The sequence below is a fragment of the Homo sapiens genome, chromosome 2, assembly GCF_000001405.40.
Source record: "Homo sapiens chromosome 2, GRCh38.p14 Primary Assembly".
NCBI classification, from domain to species: Eukaryota; Metazoa; Chordata; class Mammalia; order Primates; family Hominidae; genus Homo; species Homo sapiens.
In genome coordinates this window covers 61992841-62008686 of record NC_000002.12, presented here as the reverse complement: position 1 = coordinate 62008686, position 15846 = coordinate 61992841, and the positions used below count along the sequence as shown (strand labels likewise).

General features: G+C 40.0%; 1 protein-coding gene across 7 annotated transcripts in view; it reads right to left on the bottom strand.

The window, feature by feature from the left end:
- Nucleotides 1–15846, bottom strand: part of COMMD1 (copper metabolism domain containing 1) — a 247668-nt gene that overhangs the window by 127372 nt on the left and 104450 nt on the right. For all 7 annotated transcript variants that reach the window (NM_001371765.2, NM_001321781.3, NM_001321782.3 and 4 more), the window contains exon 2: nucleotides 7705–7986. In NM_001371765.2, the coding sequence (NP_001358694.1) occupies nucleotides 7705–7968 (264 nt within the window). In that variant the 5' untranslated portion in view covers nucleotides 7969–7986. The remainder of the gene's footprint in view (nucleotides 1–7704; nucleotides 7987–15846) is intronic.

Here is a 15846-nt window from a genome sequence, read left to right as displayed (position 1 = left end):
CAGAAAACTAGTTTCACTAATTCTTTGGAGGCTTTCCTTTAGTAGATTATTGAAAGTAAAAATCAACCTTAAATACAAGAATTATCAGAAACAAATTTGTATTGCTTGCATTACAGCTTATATAACCAAGCACGTTATCTGTTCCCCTCGGTAGCTATTTGGAGTAAGACAACATAATCTCAAAATGGTGACTGAACGTTGATAAAATAAAATGGCATTTTATTTAATCCCTATATCCTATCCTTACAAATCCCTCTATGTATTTACACACATACACAGGTATAAACAAATATATATGTGTGTGTGTGTGTGTGTGTGTGTGTGTCTGTCTGTGTGTGTGTATGAAAGATTGTGGGTCTGTGTGCATGTGCACGCAACTTTGCTGCTTCCCCTATGACACAAAGCAGATAGCTGTGGTGACTATTCCTCAGGCTTGTGAAGCTACAGTGGTACATGACCAAGCTCAGTATAAACTGATTTTATTTATTTACTTATTTATTTATTTAGAGACAAGGTCTCACTTTCACTCTGTCACCCAGGCTGGAGGGTAGTGGCGCAATCACAGCTCACTGCAGCCTCGACCTCCTGGGCACAAGGGATCCTCACTCTATCGAGTAGCTTGGATTACAGACATGCAGTATCACATCTGGCTAATTTTCATATTTTTTGTAGAGATGGGGTCTCGCCATGTTGATCAAGCTGGTCTCAAACACCTGGGCTCAAGTAATCTGCCTCCCTCAACCTCTCAAAGTGCTGGTATTACAGGTGTGAGCCACTGCGCCCAGACATAAACGGATTATTAATTATATGTTTTAGCAGATTCTTACTCCTTATTTACTAGCTAGAATTACAAAAGCAGATCAGTGTATAGTTATGCATAGCTTAACGATGAGGATACCTTCTGAGAAATGTGCCATTAGGTGATTCATTGTGTGAACATGATAGAGTGTACTTACACAAACCTAGATGGTGTAGCCTGCTATACACCTAGGTTATATGGTATAGCCTATTGCTTCTAGGCTATAAACCTGTACAGGGCATTACTGTACTGAATACTGTAGGCAACTGCAACACAATGATAAGTATTATATTTGTGTAACTAAACATATCTAAATATAGAAAAGTTACCTTTAAAATACAGTATTATCATCTTATGGGACAACTATCGTATATGTGATCCATCAGTGACTGAAATGTCATTATGCAGAGCATGATTGTATTTAGTTTATTTCAAAAGAAATTTAGAAATTAAAAATAAATGAATACTTTCCCTCGAGATTAGAGGTTTATCTATGTTTCAGACAAAATTGCTGAGTTTTTAATACAGAACCCAACCTATTTTGATTCTGTAATGTATGGTCAGTGAATATCCCCCTCATCTAATTGCTTATAAATGACAGGAGTGAGCATATGAGTTGGTTAAAAAAACAACTAGATCAGAAAATATAAAAATCTGTCTTCCTCTATAGGTCTGCTAAAAACTCAACCCAAAACTAGACAAGTGCTTAAACTAAAACTTACTTGAGAAAAGGCAATAACATTAGCCATTAATAAATAAATTAAAAAACAACAAAGAAAAGAGTTTTATATTTTGGGATCTCTACATGCAGGGCATCTTAAAATCTATGTGCAAGAACAATTCAGTACTAAATGGTTCAGTACTGAGACTAAGTCTAAATGTTTCCTCACAAAATGTCCTTTTGGCCTTGAAGGACAAGAAGTCATAAAAGAAAACCTAATACATCTTTATAAAATACCCAAATTCAAGCCTAAAAAGAAGAAATAACCATAAATGAGACTCCACTGAAGGTATAAATTACCATCCCTTCTCCCCAGTTAGTGTTTAAAAAAAGAAAACACTTCTATCATAATCTCTACTGAAGTTCCAGGAAAGGAAAACACAACAAAGGTGTTAGGTGAATAAATATAAAACATTTCTAAAGACATATGCCAGATTCCTACAGTCCTCATGGCTCAGATCTCACAGTGATTTATGGCCAAATATGACAGGATTTCAGTCTCATAAGCAAAGCACTTGATGTTCATCTTTTGGATATAAAATATTCACCTTAAAGCTTTCTGCATGTTTTTACAATTGAATCATGTTTTATTTTTGCAAAATTTTTACTTCTGTTGGAAAAAACATTCACTACAAGCAAAGTAATTGGGTCAGTAGTTCCTACTCATTTTCTCTAGCTTTGCAGATTTCCATTAAGGTATAATGCCTTCTATTACTCTGGCTTCCTCATATCTCAAAGGATATCGCAATATATACTGTGATTTAGAAAACAAGGTTATGTATGTACTTGGCTTCCAATTTTCTTTTTTTTTTTAATTATTATTATACTTTAAGTTTTAGGGTACATGTGCACAATGTGTAGGTTAGTTACATATATATACACGTGCCATGCTGGTGTGCTGCACCCATTATCTTGTCATTTAGCATTAGGTATATCTCCTAATGCTATCCCTCCCCCCCTCCCCCCACCCCACAACAGTCCCCAGAGTATGATGTTCCCCTTCCTGTGTCCATGTGTTCTCATTGTTCAATTCCCACCTATGAGTGAGAACATGCGGTGTTTGGTTTTTTGTCCTTGCGATAGTTTACTGAGAATGATGATTTCCAATTTCATCCATGTCCCTACAAAGGACATGAACTCATCATTTTTTATGGCTGCATAGTATTCCGTGGTGTGTATGTGCCACATTTTCTTAATCCAGTCTATCATTGTTGGACATTTGGGTTGGTTCCAAGTCTTTGCTATTGTGAATAGTGCCGCAGTAAACATACGTGTGCATGTGTCTTTATAGCAGCATGATTTATAGTCCTTTGGGTATATACCCAGTAATGGGATGGCTGGGTCAAATGGTATTTCTAGTTCTAGATCCCTGAGGAATCGCCACACTGACTTCCACAATGGTTGAACTAGTTTACAGTCCCACCAACGGTGTAAAAGTGTTCCTATTTCTCCACATCCTCTCCAGCACCTGTTGTTTCCTGACTTTTTAATGATTGCCATTCTAACTGGTGTGAGATGGTATCTCATTGTGGTTTTGATTTGCATTTCTCTGGATGGCCAGTGATGATGAGCATTTTTTCATGTGTCTTTTGGCTACATAAATGTCTTCTTTTGAGAAGTGTCTGTTCATATCCTTTGCCCACTTTTTGATGGGGTTGTTTTTTTCTTGTAAATTTGTTTGAGTTCATTGTAGATTCTGGATATTAGCCCTTTGGCTTCCAATTTTCAAATGTTACTTTTTAGACCAAAGAAAAGTAATACAGACAAACTGAACAGGAGAGAGAAATTTAAATAGGGAGTGAGGGAAATGAAAGAAACCCACCTTCACTAGTTCCTGAATAAACAATCTCAAGCACTCTACAAATTACATCAAGTACAAGCAATATGCCAACATATATTGAATTCTTGTTGTAAAAATATGATACCAAGTTCTATTAACACATCAAATCCAATTATTTTGGCTACCTTTAACACAGTGGTTCTCAACCCTGGATACTGAAATCATCTGGGCAGCTTTAAAGAATAACGATACCTATGTTCCATCCCCACAGATTCTTATGTAATTGGCTGGGGGTAAGGTCTGAGCATCAACATGTTTAAAGCTCTGAATGTGATTCTTATGTGTGACCATGGTTGAGAACTACTGCTTTAAAATGATATAAACTGAAGACAGTACTTTAGTTGCCCTGGGGTACACAGATAGACATAAACACACACACCAGAGTTCAACAAAAACCTGGTCACCCTTCTTGGAAGCAACTTCTTGATATCCTAGGATCGTTAATTCTCTCACAAGCTCATCCAATGTCAGCAGTGTGAAAACAACTTTGATGTGGGTGCCTATAGGTGTTCTAAAAATTGGGTACTTGATTTAGTAGAGTATTTCATAAATAACACTAACCTAGAAGCTGGCATAAGTACTAACCAAGGATCCAGTTCTCACAAAAACATTTCCTGTAGGATGTGGGCTATATATTTTACTGCCAGTCTAGGTTCTATTATTGTTTACTTTATTCTTTACAACTTTTCTTGACTTCATATATTTGTATTAAAAAGGATTTTATAGGCCGGGCGCGGTGGCTCAAGCCTGTAATCCCAGCACTTTGGGAGGCCGAGGTGGGTGGATCACGAGGTCAGGAGTTCAAGACCAGCCTGGCCAAGATGGTGAAACCCCCATCTCTACTAAAAATACAAAAAATAAGCCAGGCACAGTGGCAGGCACCTGTAATCCCAGCTACTCGGGGAGGCTGAGGCAAGAGAACCACTTGAACTCGGAGGGTGGAGGCTGCAGTGAGCCGAGATTGTGCCACTGCACTCCAGCCTGGGTGACAGAGTGAGACTCCATCTCAAAAAACAAATAAAAAGGATTTTATGGGCTAAAGTGCAATATCAATCATTTTCATTGTGACTATTTCTTTACTACTTTGAAGTATGTGATGTACAATAAACTGTAAATAATAAAGTGTACAATTTTATAAGTTTTGACATATGTATACAATCATTGTCACACTTTTTTTCTTTTTCTTTTTCTTTTTTTCTGAGACACAGTCTCACTCTGTCACCAAGGCTAAAGTGAAGTGATCCGATCTTGGCTTGCTGCAACCTCCGCCTTCCGGGCTCAAGTGATTTTTGTGCCTCAGCCTCCTGAGTAGCTGGAACTACAGACACACACCACCACACACGGCTAATTTTTGTATTTTTAGTAGAGACAGGGTTTCACCATGTTGGCCAGGCTGGTCTCAAACTCCTGACCTCAAGTGATCTGCCTGCCTCAGCTTCCCAAAGTACTGAGATTACAGAAGCGAGCAACCTGTAACCTAGAAACCTATGATAGTATTAACGAAATAATATCATAGCTTTCTAGGAGTCTTAAAACAGATTATGTTTTCATATTCCTGACCAAATGTTAAATATAGACAAAATGAAATAAGCACTGCTGGCAGGATGAAAACTAAATAGCCGATATAAATAGCTGGTAAAACTTAGATATCCAAGTGTACTTATTAAACTTTTCTAATCTGTTGGGTGTGTGTGTGTGTGTGTGTGTGTGTGTGTGTGTGTAAAAATATCTGTCACATAACGTAATGGTTAAGAGAACAGACAAGTTTTTTTTGTTTTTTTTTTTTGAGACGGAGTCTCACTCTGTCGCCCAGGCTGGAGTGCGGTGGCACAATCTCGGCTCACTGCAAGCTCCACCTCCTGGGTTCACACCATTCTCCTGCCTCAGACTCCCCAGTAGCTGGGATTACAGGCGCCCGCCACCACGCCCGGCTAATTTTTTTGTGTTTTTAGTAGAGACGGGTTTCACTGTGTTAGCCAGGATGGTCTCGATCTCCTGATCTCGTGATCCACCTGCCTTGGCCTCCCAAAGTGTTGAGATTACAGGCATGAGCCACCACACCCGGCCTGTTTTGTTTTGTTTTGTTTTTTTTTTTTGAGACAGCGCCTCACTGTTGCCCAGACTGGAGTGCAGTGGCACCATCTCGGCTGACAGCAACCTCTGCCTCCCAGGTTCAAGTGATTCTCCTGCCTCAGCCTCCCAAGTAGCTAGGATTACAGGTGCCTGCCACCATGCCCAGCTAATTTTTGTATTTTTAGTAGAGATGGGGTTTCCCCATGTTGGCCAGGCTGGTCTTGATCTCCTGACCTCAGATGATACACCTGCCTCAGCCTCCCAAAGTGCTGGGATTACAGGCGTGAGCCACTGTGCCCAGCAAGAGAACTGACTTTAGGATCAGACAAACTAGTCAACAAGTACAAGTAGCACTACTTTATAATAACTGAATAAAAGGTATTCCATATTTAAATTTTTTTTTTGCAACAGGGTCTCCCACCCAGCCTGGAGTACAGTGATGTGATCCCTGCTCACTGCAACCTCCACCTCCCAGGATGAAGCAATTCTCCTGCCTCAGCCTCCTGAGTAACTGGGATTACAGGTGCCCGCCACCATGCCCGGCAATTTGTTGTTGTTGTTGTTTTGTTTTGTTTTTGTATTTTTAGTAGAAGAGATGGGGCTTTACCATGTTGGCCAGGTTGGTCTTGAACTCCTGACCTCAAGTGATCCACCTGCCTTGGCCTTCCAAAGTGCTGGGATTACAGAGATGAGCCACTGCGCCTGGCCAAAAATTTTTAATGAATTATCTTTTTTTTTTTTTTTTTTTTTTTTTTTTTTTTTCTGGTGGAATCTCGCTCTTGTCACCCAGGCTGGAGTGCAGTGGCTCAATCTCGGCTCACTGCAACCTCCACCTCCCGGATTCAAGCGATTCTCCTGCCTCAGCCTCCCAAGTAGCTGGGATTATAGGCGCCTGCCACCATGCCTGACTAATTTTTGTGTTTTTAGTAGAGACAAGGTTTCACCATGTTGGCCAGGCTGGTCTCAAAGTCCTGACCTCAGGTGATCCACCCACCCTGGCCTCCCAAAGTGTTGGGATTACAGGTGTGAGCCACTGTGCTCAGGCTGAATTATCTTTTATTATTTAAAAAAAATTTTTTTCTTGAGACAGAGTTTCGCTCTTATTGCCCAGGCTGGAGTGCAATGGCATGATCTCGGCTCACTGCAACCTCCACCTCCCAGGTTCAAGCGATTCTCGTGCCTCAGCCTCCCAAGTAGCTAGGATTACAGGCATGTGCCACCATGCCCAGCTAATTTTGTATTTTTAGCAGAGGCGGGGTTTCTGGTCTCTGTTGGTCAGGTTGGCCTCGAACTCCTGACCTCAGGTGATCCGCCCACCTCAGCCTCCCAAAGTGCTGGGGTTACAGGCATAAACTGGGATTACAGGCATGAGCCACTGTGCCAGGCCCTGAATTATCTTTTAAATTAAAATTAAAGTCAGTACAGAACTGCAAACACTGAAAAATCTAAAGAAACTATAAAAGAAAATATGTAAGAAAATCTGACAGCTCATCAAGTAAGAAATAAATTTCTATTGTAGGATATAATAGAAGCACTTATTTGATTATTTATCTGAAAATAAATGTGATTAGCTAATTCATTGACCTGGGTTTTCTCTTCCTAATTACCAGTTTCTTTTTTTTTCCCCAAAGACATAAGCCAGATCATTAAAAGTCTGAGCTGGCAGTCATCTGGAACACAAAGTGAATGACTTCAAGAAAAACCATATAGACATTAAAATTATCTGCTATAATGACTGCTGTAACTGTTGGGAAAAGAAGCACTGTACATAAGATTAAACTGAGAATTATTTGTGACCTCAAGGACAGAGATAGCACATTTAGGGGTCTTTACGAACAATGTATTAATGTAAATTAAGATACACTGCCTCCTATACCTGACTGATTATTAAAGATGACTGGATGAGATTGTGTTGTTTAATCCAAATTCTTGGTCTTTATTTATTATCTCTATCATTGCCTTGGAAATTCTGAACAAATGCCAAGGATTTTGAGATCTAACCAAATGCAGTAGTGGTCAGCTTCTGAGCAATCACATTATTGGCCCATTCTGTTCTTCTGAGACAGCTGCCAGGACCCTGAGGCTAGTTTCCAGACTCTGTCCACAAGTGAGAGTATCCAAATTTTCAGATGATTCTACCTCTGAAAAAGGATTCTAGGAAACAGTGTCTTTTCCTGTTGCTGTTATTGCATAAAATCAAGCTGAATAGACAAGCTAACATGTAGTGAAAAATACAGTTTACAAAGGAAAATTGACTTAAGTTTAACTCACCTGTCCATATTTGCCTAATTCCAGCTCTATAATGGCAACAGGTGTGTGTATTTGAGCTGAGTGCCTTGACTGAGACTTGCCATCAACTCTCCAGCTCAGGCCCCGAAGCCCGCTATTCCAGCGGCTCTGGTTCATGAGGCTCTCACGGATTTTTGTCTTGTGGCTCTTCCAGAATTTGGAAATGACAGCAGCTTGGTCAGATGTGATCCCACCTTGCTTTTTGGTTTGAGCAGTCAAGAATGCCTCCAGCTGGTTGAAATCCATGTCTGCAGACGCAATAGACTATAAAGATGACAGAAAAAGCAAAAAATTTGAATTAAATAGGTAATTAGAAAAAGATAGCTTCTTAACTACAGATTATATTTTGAGTGACTCTTAAATCACTGAAATAGCCCAGACACAATGGCTCACACCTGTAATCTCAGCACTTTGGGAGGCAGAGGTGAGATCACTTGAGGTTAGGAGTTAGAGACCAAACTGGCCAACATGGTGAAACCCTGTCTCTACTAAAACTACAAAAATTAGCCAGGCATGGTTGTGCGTGGTATATATGCAATAACAGCAATCTCAGTAATCTCAGCTACTCAGGAGGCTGAGACACAAGAATCGCTTCAACCGGGAGGCAGGGACTGCAGTGAGCCAAAATTGCGCCACTGCACTCCAGCCTGGGTGACAGAGAGAGACCCTGTCTCAAAAAAAAAAAAAAAAAAAATTCACTGAAATAAATTTTAATAAAAGGTCATCAAGGGACAGTAAAGAGGCCAGGTACAGTGGCTCACACCTGTAATCCCAGCACTTTGCAAAGCTGAGGTGGGCAGATTGCTTGAGGTCAGAAATTTGAGACCAACCTGGCCAAAATGGTGAAACCCTGTTTTTCCACTAAAAATACAAAATTGGCCGGGTGTAGTTGCGCACACCTGTAGTCCCAGCTACTCGGGAGGCTGAGGCAGGAGAATCGCTTGAACCCGGGAGGCAGAGGTAGCAGTAGCTCAGATCACACCACTATACTCCAGCCTGAGCGACAGAGCAAGACTGCACTCAAAAAAAAAAAAGTGGGTGGGGGAGGGGGCAGACAGTAATGAGAATAAGCTCTTTATAACAAAAATACTCCCTTTGGAAACATCAAATATCAGAAAAGCTACTGTTAAAAATTCCATGTCACTCAATTCGGTATCAATAACTAGAATATAATTTTTAAATATCCAGTTCTATGGCGGGGAGATAAAATGAAATTTTTTTTGAAGTAATAAAACAAGCCAGGTGTGGTGGTGTGTGCCTGTAGTCCCAGCTACTTGGGAAGCTGAGGCAGGAGGACAGCTGGAGCCCAGGAGTTCGAGTCCAGCCTGGGCAACACAGCAAGACCCTGTCTCTAAAATAATAATAATAACAATAAAACAAAAGAATAAAATTAATTGGTTGTTTGATAAAATCTTACATAATTTCACAATGCCTTATAGCCAGGCTTGGTTTGATATACTTCAACTGTATAATGCCTTATCCATGTGATGCACTAAGTAAATTATTGTTAAGTGAATGTATTTATCTTAGCTTTGAAGCCCATCTTCAGCCAAACAGCTCATTCACAATAATACTACTGTGAAATTATATACTACTTTATACTTTCCCATAAATTTTCAAAAGTTAATTGCCATTGAATCTGGGTTCTCTATTCCAGCATCCAAGAAGACACAGTAACTAAATATAAGCTCAAGCATAGTAACATGCCTTAAATTTGCACAGTAATCTTTAGCATACCATAGCATTTTCACATCTACAGGCATACTTCATTTTATTGTGCATCACTTTATTGCACTTCACTTTATTATAATTCACAGATACTGCATTTTTTACAAATTGAAGGTCTGTGGCAACCCTATATTAAGCAAGTCTATTGGTGCCATTTTTCAAATAGCATATGCTCACCTTGTGTCTCTGTGTCACATTTTGAAAATTCTCATATTTCAAACTTTTTCACTATTATTTATATCTGTTATGGTGATCTGTGATCAGAGATCTTCAATGTTACTAGTGGAATTCTTTCAGGGCGCCATGAAACATGCCCATAGAAGACAGATAAACTAACTAATTGATAAATGTCTTGTGTTCTGACTGCTCCAACCACTGGCCATTCCTTCTCTTTCCCTCTCTGCAGGCCTCCCTATGACCTGAGACACACAATATTGAAATTAGGCCAACTAATAACCCTACGATGGCCTCTAAGTATTCAAGTGAAAAAGTCACACATATCTGATTTTAAATCAAAAGCTAGAAATGTTTAAGCTTAGAGAGGAAGCCAAGATAGGCTGAAAGCTAGGCCTCCTGTGCCAGACAGCTAGCCAAGTTGTGAACGCCAAGGAGAAGTTCTTCAAAGAAATTAAAAGTGCTACTCCAGTGCACACACAAATGACAAGAAAGCAAAACACAGCCGGGCGCAGTGGTTCACGCCTGTAATCCCAGCACTTTGGGAGGCCGAATTGGGCAGATCACTTGAGGTCCGGAGTTCGAGACCAGCCTGGACAACATGGTGAAACCCTGTCTCTACTAAAAATACAAAAATTAGCTGGGCGTAGTGGCGCACGCCTGTAATCCCAACTACTCAGGAGGCTGAGGCAGGAGAAATGCATGAATCCAGGAGGCAGAGGTTGCAGTGAGCCAAGATAGTACGACTGCACTTCCAGCCTCAGCCTGGAGGACAGAGTGAGACTCTCTCTCAAACAAAAAAAAAAAAAAAAAAAAGAAAGCACAACAGCCTTATTGCTGATATGGAGAAGGTTTTGGTGGTCTGGACAAAAGATCAAACCAGCCACCACATTCCCATAAGCCAAAACCTAATCGAGGGCAAGGCCCTAACTTTCTTTAATTATATGTAGGTTGAGAGAGGTGAGAAAGTTTACAGAAGAAAAGTTTGAAGCAAGGTTGGTTCATGAGGTTTAAAGAAAGAAGTTGTCTCCATTAACACAAAAGCACAAGATGAAGCAGCAAGTGCTGACGTATGAGCTGCAGCAAGTTATCCAGAAAATCTAGCTATTTGATGAACGTGGTTACACTAAACAAAAGGTTTTCAATATAGATGAAATAGCCATATATCGGAAAAAGATACCATCTAGGACTTTATTTTTTGTTTGTGAGTTCTCATAAAATAGGACTTTCACAGCTAGAGAGAAGTCAATGCCTAGCTTCAAAGGACAGGCTGACTCTCTTGTTAGGGGCTAACGCAGCTGGTGACTTGAAGTTGAAGCCAATGCTCATTTACCATTCAGAAAACTCTAGGGCCCTTAAGAATGATGTTAAATCTACTCTGCCCGTGCTCTATAAATGGAACAACAAAGCCTAAACAGCATATCTGTTTACAGCATGGCCTGCTGAATTTAAAATACTCAGCTGAATTTAAAATATTCACAGTGCGCTTAATATTTTACGTAAAACTACTGCTCAGAAAAAAGATTCCTTTCAGAATATTACTACTCACTAACAATGCACGTAGTCACTCAAGAGCTCTGATGGAGACGTACAAGGAGATGTTATTTTCATGACTGCTAACACAGCATTCATTCTGCAGACCACGGATCAAGAAGTAATTTTGACCGTAAAGTCTTTTTTTTTTTTAAGAAATACATTTTGTGACCAGGCATAGTGGCTCAAGCCTATAATCTCAGCACTTGGGAGGCCGAGGTGGGCAGATTGCTTGAGCCTGGGAGTTCAAGACCATTCTGGGCAACATGGCAAGACCACGTTTTTACAAAAAATACAAAAAAACTAGCCAAGCGGGGTAGTACGCATCTGTGGTCCCAGCTACTTAGAAGGCTGAGGTGGGAGGATCACTGTGAACACAGGGGGTCAAGGCTGCATAAGCCAAGATGGCACCATTGCACTCCTGCCTGGGTGACACAGCAAGACCCTGTCTAAAAAGAAAAAAAAAAAAAAAGAAAGAAATACATTTTGTAAGGCTATAGCTGCCATAGACAGTGATTACTCTAATGGATCCAGGCAGAATAAACTGAAAACCTTCAGGAAAGGATTCACCATTCTAAGTGCCATTAAGAACATTCACGATTCATAGAAGAATGTCAAAATATCCACATTAAAGGGAGTTTGGAAGAAGTTGATTCCATCCCTCATGGATGACTTCGAGGAGTCCAAGATTTCAGTGGAGGAAGTAACTGCATATGTGGTGAAAACAGCAAGAGAACAAGAATTAGAAGTGAAATCTGAAGATGTGATTGAATTGCTGCAATCTTATGATCAAACTTGAATGGATAAGAAGTTACTCCTTATGGAGGAGTAAACAAAGTGGTTTCTTGGTATCTAGTCCTAGTAAAGATGTTGTGAACATTGTTGAAGTGACAACAAAGGACTTAGAACATTACAGAAACTTAGTTGATAAAGCAGCAGCAGGGTTGGAGAGAACTGACTCCAATTTGGAAAGAGGTTCTACTGTGGGTAAAATGCTATCAAACAGCATCACATGCTACAGAGAAATCTTTCATGAAAGGGAGAGTCCACGGATGCAACAATCTCATTGTTGTGTTATTTAAGAAATTGCCACAGCCACCCCAACTTTCAGCAATCACCACTCTGATCAGTAAGCAGCCACTGACATCAAGGCAATTCAAATCCCACTTCTGACACACACACACACACACACACACACACACACACACACACACATTTAGAAAACAAAAACAAGACATCAAGGCAAGACCCTCCACCAGCAAAAAGAATATGACTAGATGAAGGCTCAGGTAATCATTAGCATTTTTTAGCAATAAAGTTTTTAGGTTTTTTTTGGGAGATGGGGTCTCTGTTACTCAGGCTGGAGTGCAGGAGCACAACCATAGCTCACTGCAGCCTCAAACTCCTGGGCTCAAGTAATCCTCTGACTTCAGCCTCTTGAATAGTAATAAAGTATCCCTTAATTAAAGTATGTATACTGCTTTTAAAGACACAGTGTTCTTACACACTTAATATAGTGTAGTATGATATGGTATGGTATAGTATAAACACAACTTTAATGCACTAGGAAACAAAAAAATTCATGTGACTCGCTTAATTGCATTATTCACTTTATTGTGGCCACCTGGAACCAAACCCAAGGTATTTCCGAGGTATGTCTGTATTACTGCACTTGACCCTCATAATCAATTTTCAAAGGCAATGAGGTAGATGATAGTATTATAGTGCTCTTCACTCTCAACTTACAGAAAAGGAAACTGAAGCTTCAAGCAGTCAACTGATTTTTCTGAAAGCACCATGAGATAAGTGCAGGGCCAAAGCCTCAACAGTTAAGCCAGGTTTCCCTCTGATTAGCTGTCACAAGTGACTACACAGAGAAGTAGACTCGGTATCACTACCACTGAAAAAAATGTAAACTGGTACATTCTGTCAACAATGATACAGAGATGCCAGTCCCTAATGAGTAGCTACAATGCTTCAGTTGCTGGCCTTCAGAGATCCTGAGACATCAAACAATGATTTGAAGAGTATTACCACAAATTTTTTACTTAAAGTTTAGATGACTGAGTGAGGAATATGTAAGTGTTCTCAGAACTTAGAAGGCCAACTAGCTCAGTTTAACAGTGAATAGAAAAACTGAGAGATAAGATTGAGAAGGCAGTCTGGAGCCAGATTAAAGTACATCAAGTTTAGACATTGTTATATATACGTAATGAGGGGCCACTAAAGGCTAGGTAACTGGGAAATCATGATGCAACGTGTGGTTTAGAACGCTGAATCTGGCCAGTGTGGTGTCACACGCCTGCAGTCCCAGCTACTCCAGAGGCTGAGGCAGGAGTATTGTTCAAGCCCTGGAGGTTGACAATGACCAGCCTGGAAAACACAGCAAAACCCTGTCTCTCTTTTAAAAATGTTTTTAATGAAAAAAAAATTTTAAGCTGAATCTGATAACAGTAAGTAGTTGGACTGAAGTGAAAAATTTTCAGAGGGCTAGGGCAATGGAGCCTAGGAGAGGACAGCAGCAGTTAATAACTTAGTCCCCAGGGTAAGCCTCCCCTTGCCTCTTCTTTGCTATGCCCCTATCTGCTAGTGGCCATGGGGACTGGCATAAGCTCCAAACCAGACAGATCACAATATCCTCCTTTCTCTGGGCGCACTGACTGGTCCCAATTTAGGGCAGGAGAAATGATCTTGTCTTTTTGGGTCATAGTATAAGAAGGACATGAGGCTGGAGTTACAGACAGCATTTTCTTGGACCTTTTGGCAAAAGCATGTCTGCAAGAAAATAGAATGAAGTGAGAGTGGATTTTAATGGGGTGATATCCCTGTTTTATAGTTCCCAAGACCCTAGTTCCTGCAGGCCTTCCTGCAATTCTATAATGCTATCTCAGCATCCTTCCTACAGACAACCCAAAATTCCATCAACTATTCAATTTAAGCTGTATTCCTATCATTTGGAACCAAGAGTCTTGACTAAAAGAGGGTGGTGGCAGTGGGAACAGAAGAATGTAAAGGTAACAACACCAAGTAGAACACAGGCAGAGCAAGTGAGACTGGAGCTGAAAGAAAAACAAGCTGTCTTTCATTTCTTCATTAATATAAAAAATTATATGGTAAATATTACAACTTTCTGGTACATTAAAGATATTTCACATTACAATTCAATAAACATTTACTGAATATCTGCCTATTTACCAGATAGCAGGACCCCAAACCTCTGGCTATGCCAATCAATACAAATACAGGCTGGGCGTGGTGGCTCACACCTGTAATCCAGCACTTTGGGAGGCTGAGGTGGGCAGGTCATCTGAGGTCAGGAGTTCATGACCAGACTGACCAACATGGAGAAATCCCATCTCCACTAACAATACAAAAATTAGCCGGGGGTGGTGGCAGGTGCCTGTAATCCCACCTACTCGAGAGGCCGATGCAGGAGAATCGCTTGAACCCGGGAGGCGAAGGTTGCAGTGAGCCAAGATTGCGCCACTGCACTTCAGCCTGGGTGACAGAGCGAGACTCCGCCAAGAAAGAAAGAAAGAAGGAAAGAAGGAAGGAAGGAAGGAAGGAATTATTTTGTATAATATACTATAATTAAGTCAAATTATTTCCACTGACACCTTGCTTCACAATATTATGTCACAACTCAGGTAATTTGTATCATTCTTCTTCTCAAATAATATCAAGAGATATCCATTCTGATATAATTTCATCTGTGACAAAAGTTATTTTGGTTGGGTTCCAGTCAATAATATCTTGAACTAGGGTCAATTCATCCAAATTTAGAACAATCAAAAATTAAATGAGAAATTGATTTTGGTTTAGGTTCAAAGTCATCAATTTTCACTTAAGAAATATTTGAATAGCTACCATAAAACAGATACTGTTCACAGCACACTACTTCCATCTACTGGCAGCCTAGGCTGACAGCCTGGTACTCATCCTTTATTCTTCTCTCTCTTCCACATCTTGAATCAGTGGTTTTCAACACTGGCTGCACATTAGAATCCTGAAGTACAATTTTAAAATATCAGCGCCCAGCTATTATCCCAGAAATTCTGATTTCCAGGAATTATGGAGTAAAGCCTAGGCACTGGTATTGTTAAAAAGCTTCCAAAGTGATTCTGGCAGGCAACAAAGTGTTAAAAACAAATGCCTCTGGCAGTAAAATGAGTTCGAAAAGAAAAAGAAAAACAAATGCCTGTAACTTTCAGTTGTCAAGTTCTACTGATTGTTACATCTGAAATAATTCTCTAATAATATGTCCCCTCTGATCTGTCCCTACTAGCTGGTAGAAGCCCTCACTATCTTGAACCTAAACTAAGTGTGGACTCCCTCAAGTCTATCTTCTATACCACTATCAAAGTGATCTATCTATAATATAAATATAGGATGCTGGCACTTGCTTGTTTAAAGTTATCCCATGGCTGACTATTACTTGCTTCAGTGGTGGTCAGGCAGGATGGTGTGAAGCACTCTCCTATGAGGTATAAGGTAAGTTGTACATAATATAGTTAGCAGTAGTAGTAGTACAAGTATTAATGTTTGTAAAGATTTTTATAAGTATAAATCAGAGGGTTTTCAAAGTATCCTTATATTAAACAATTACCTCCCTCATTTTAATTGTTTACTTGAATGGAAGAAAAAAAGAAAATTAAAAACACAGGAACTCTGCATAGAACTATATTATGC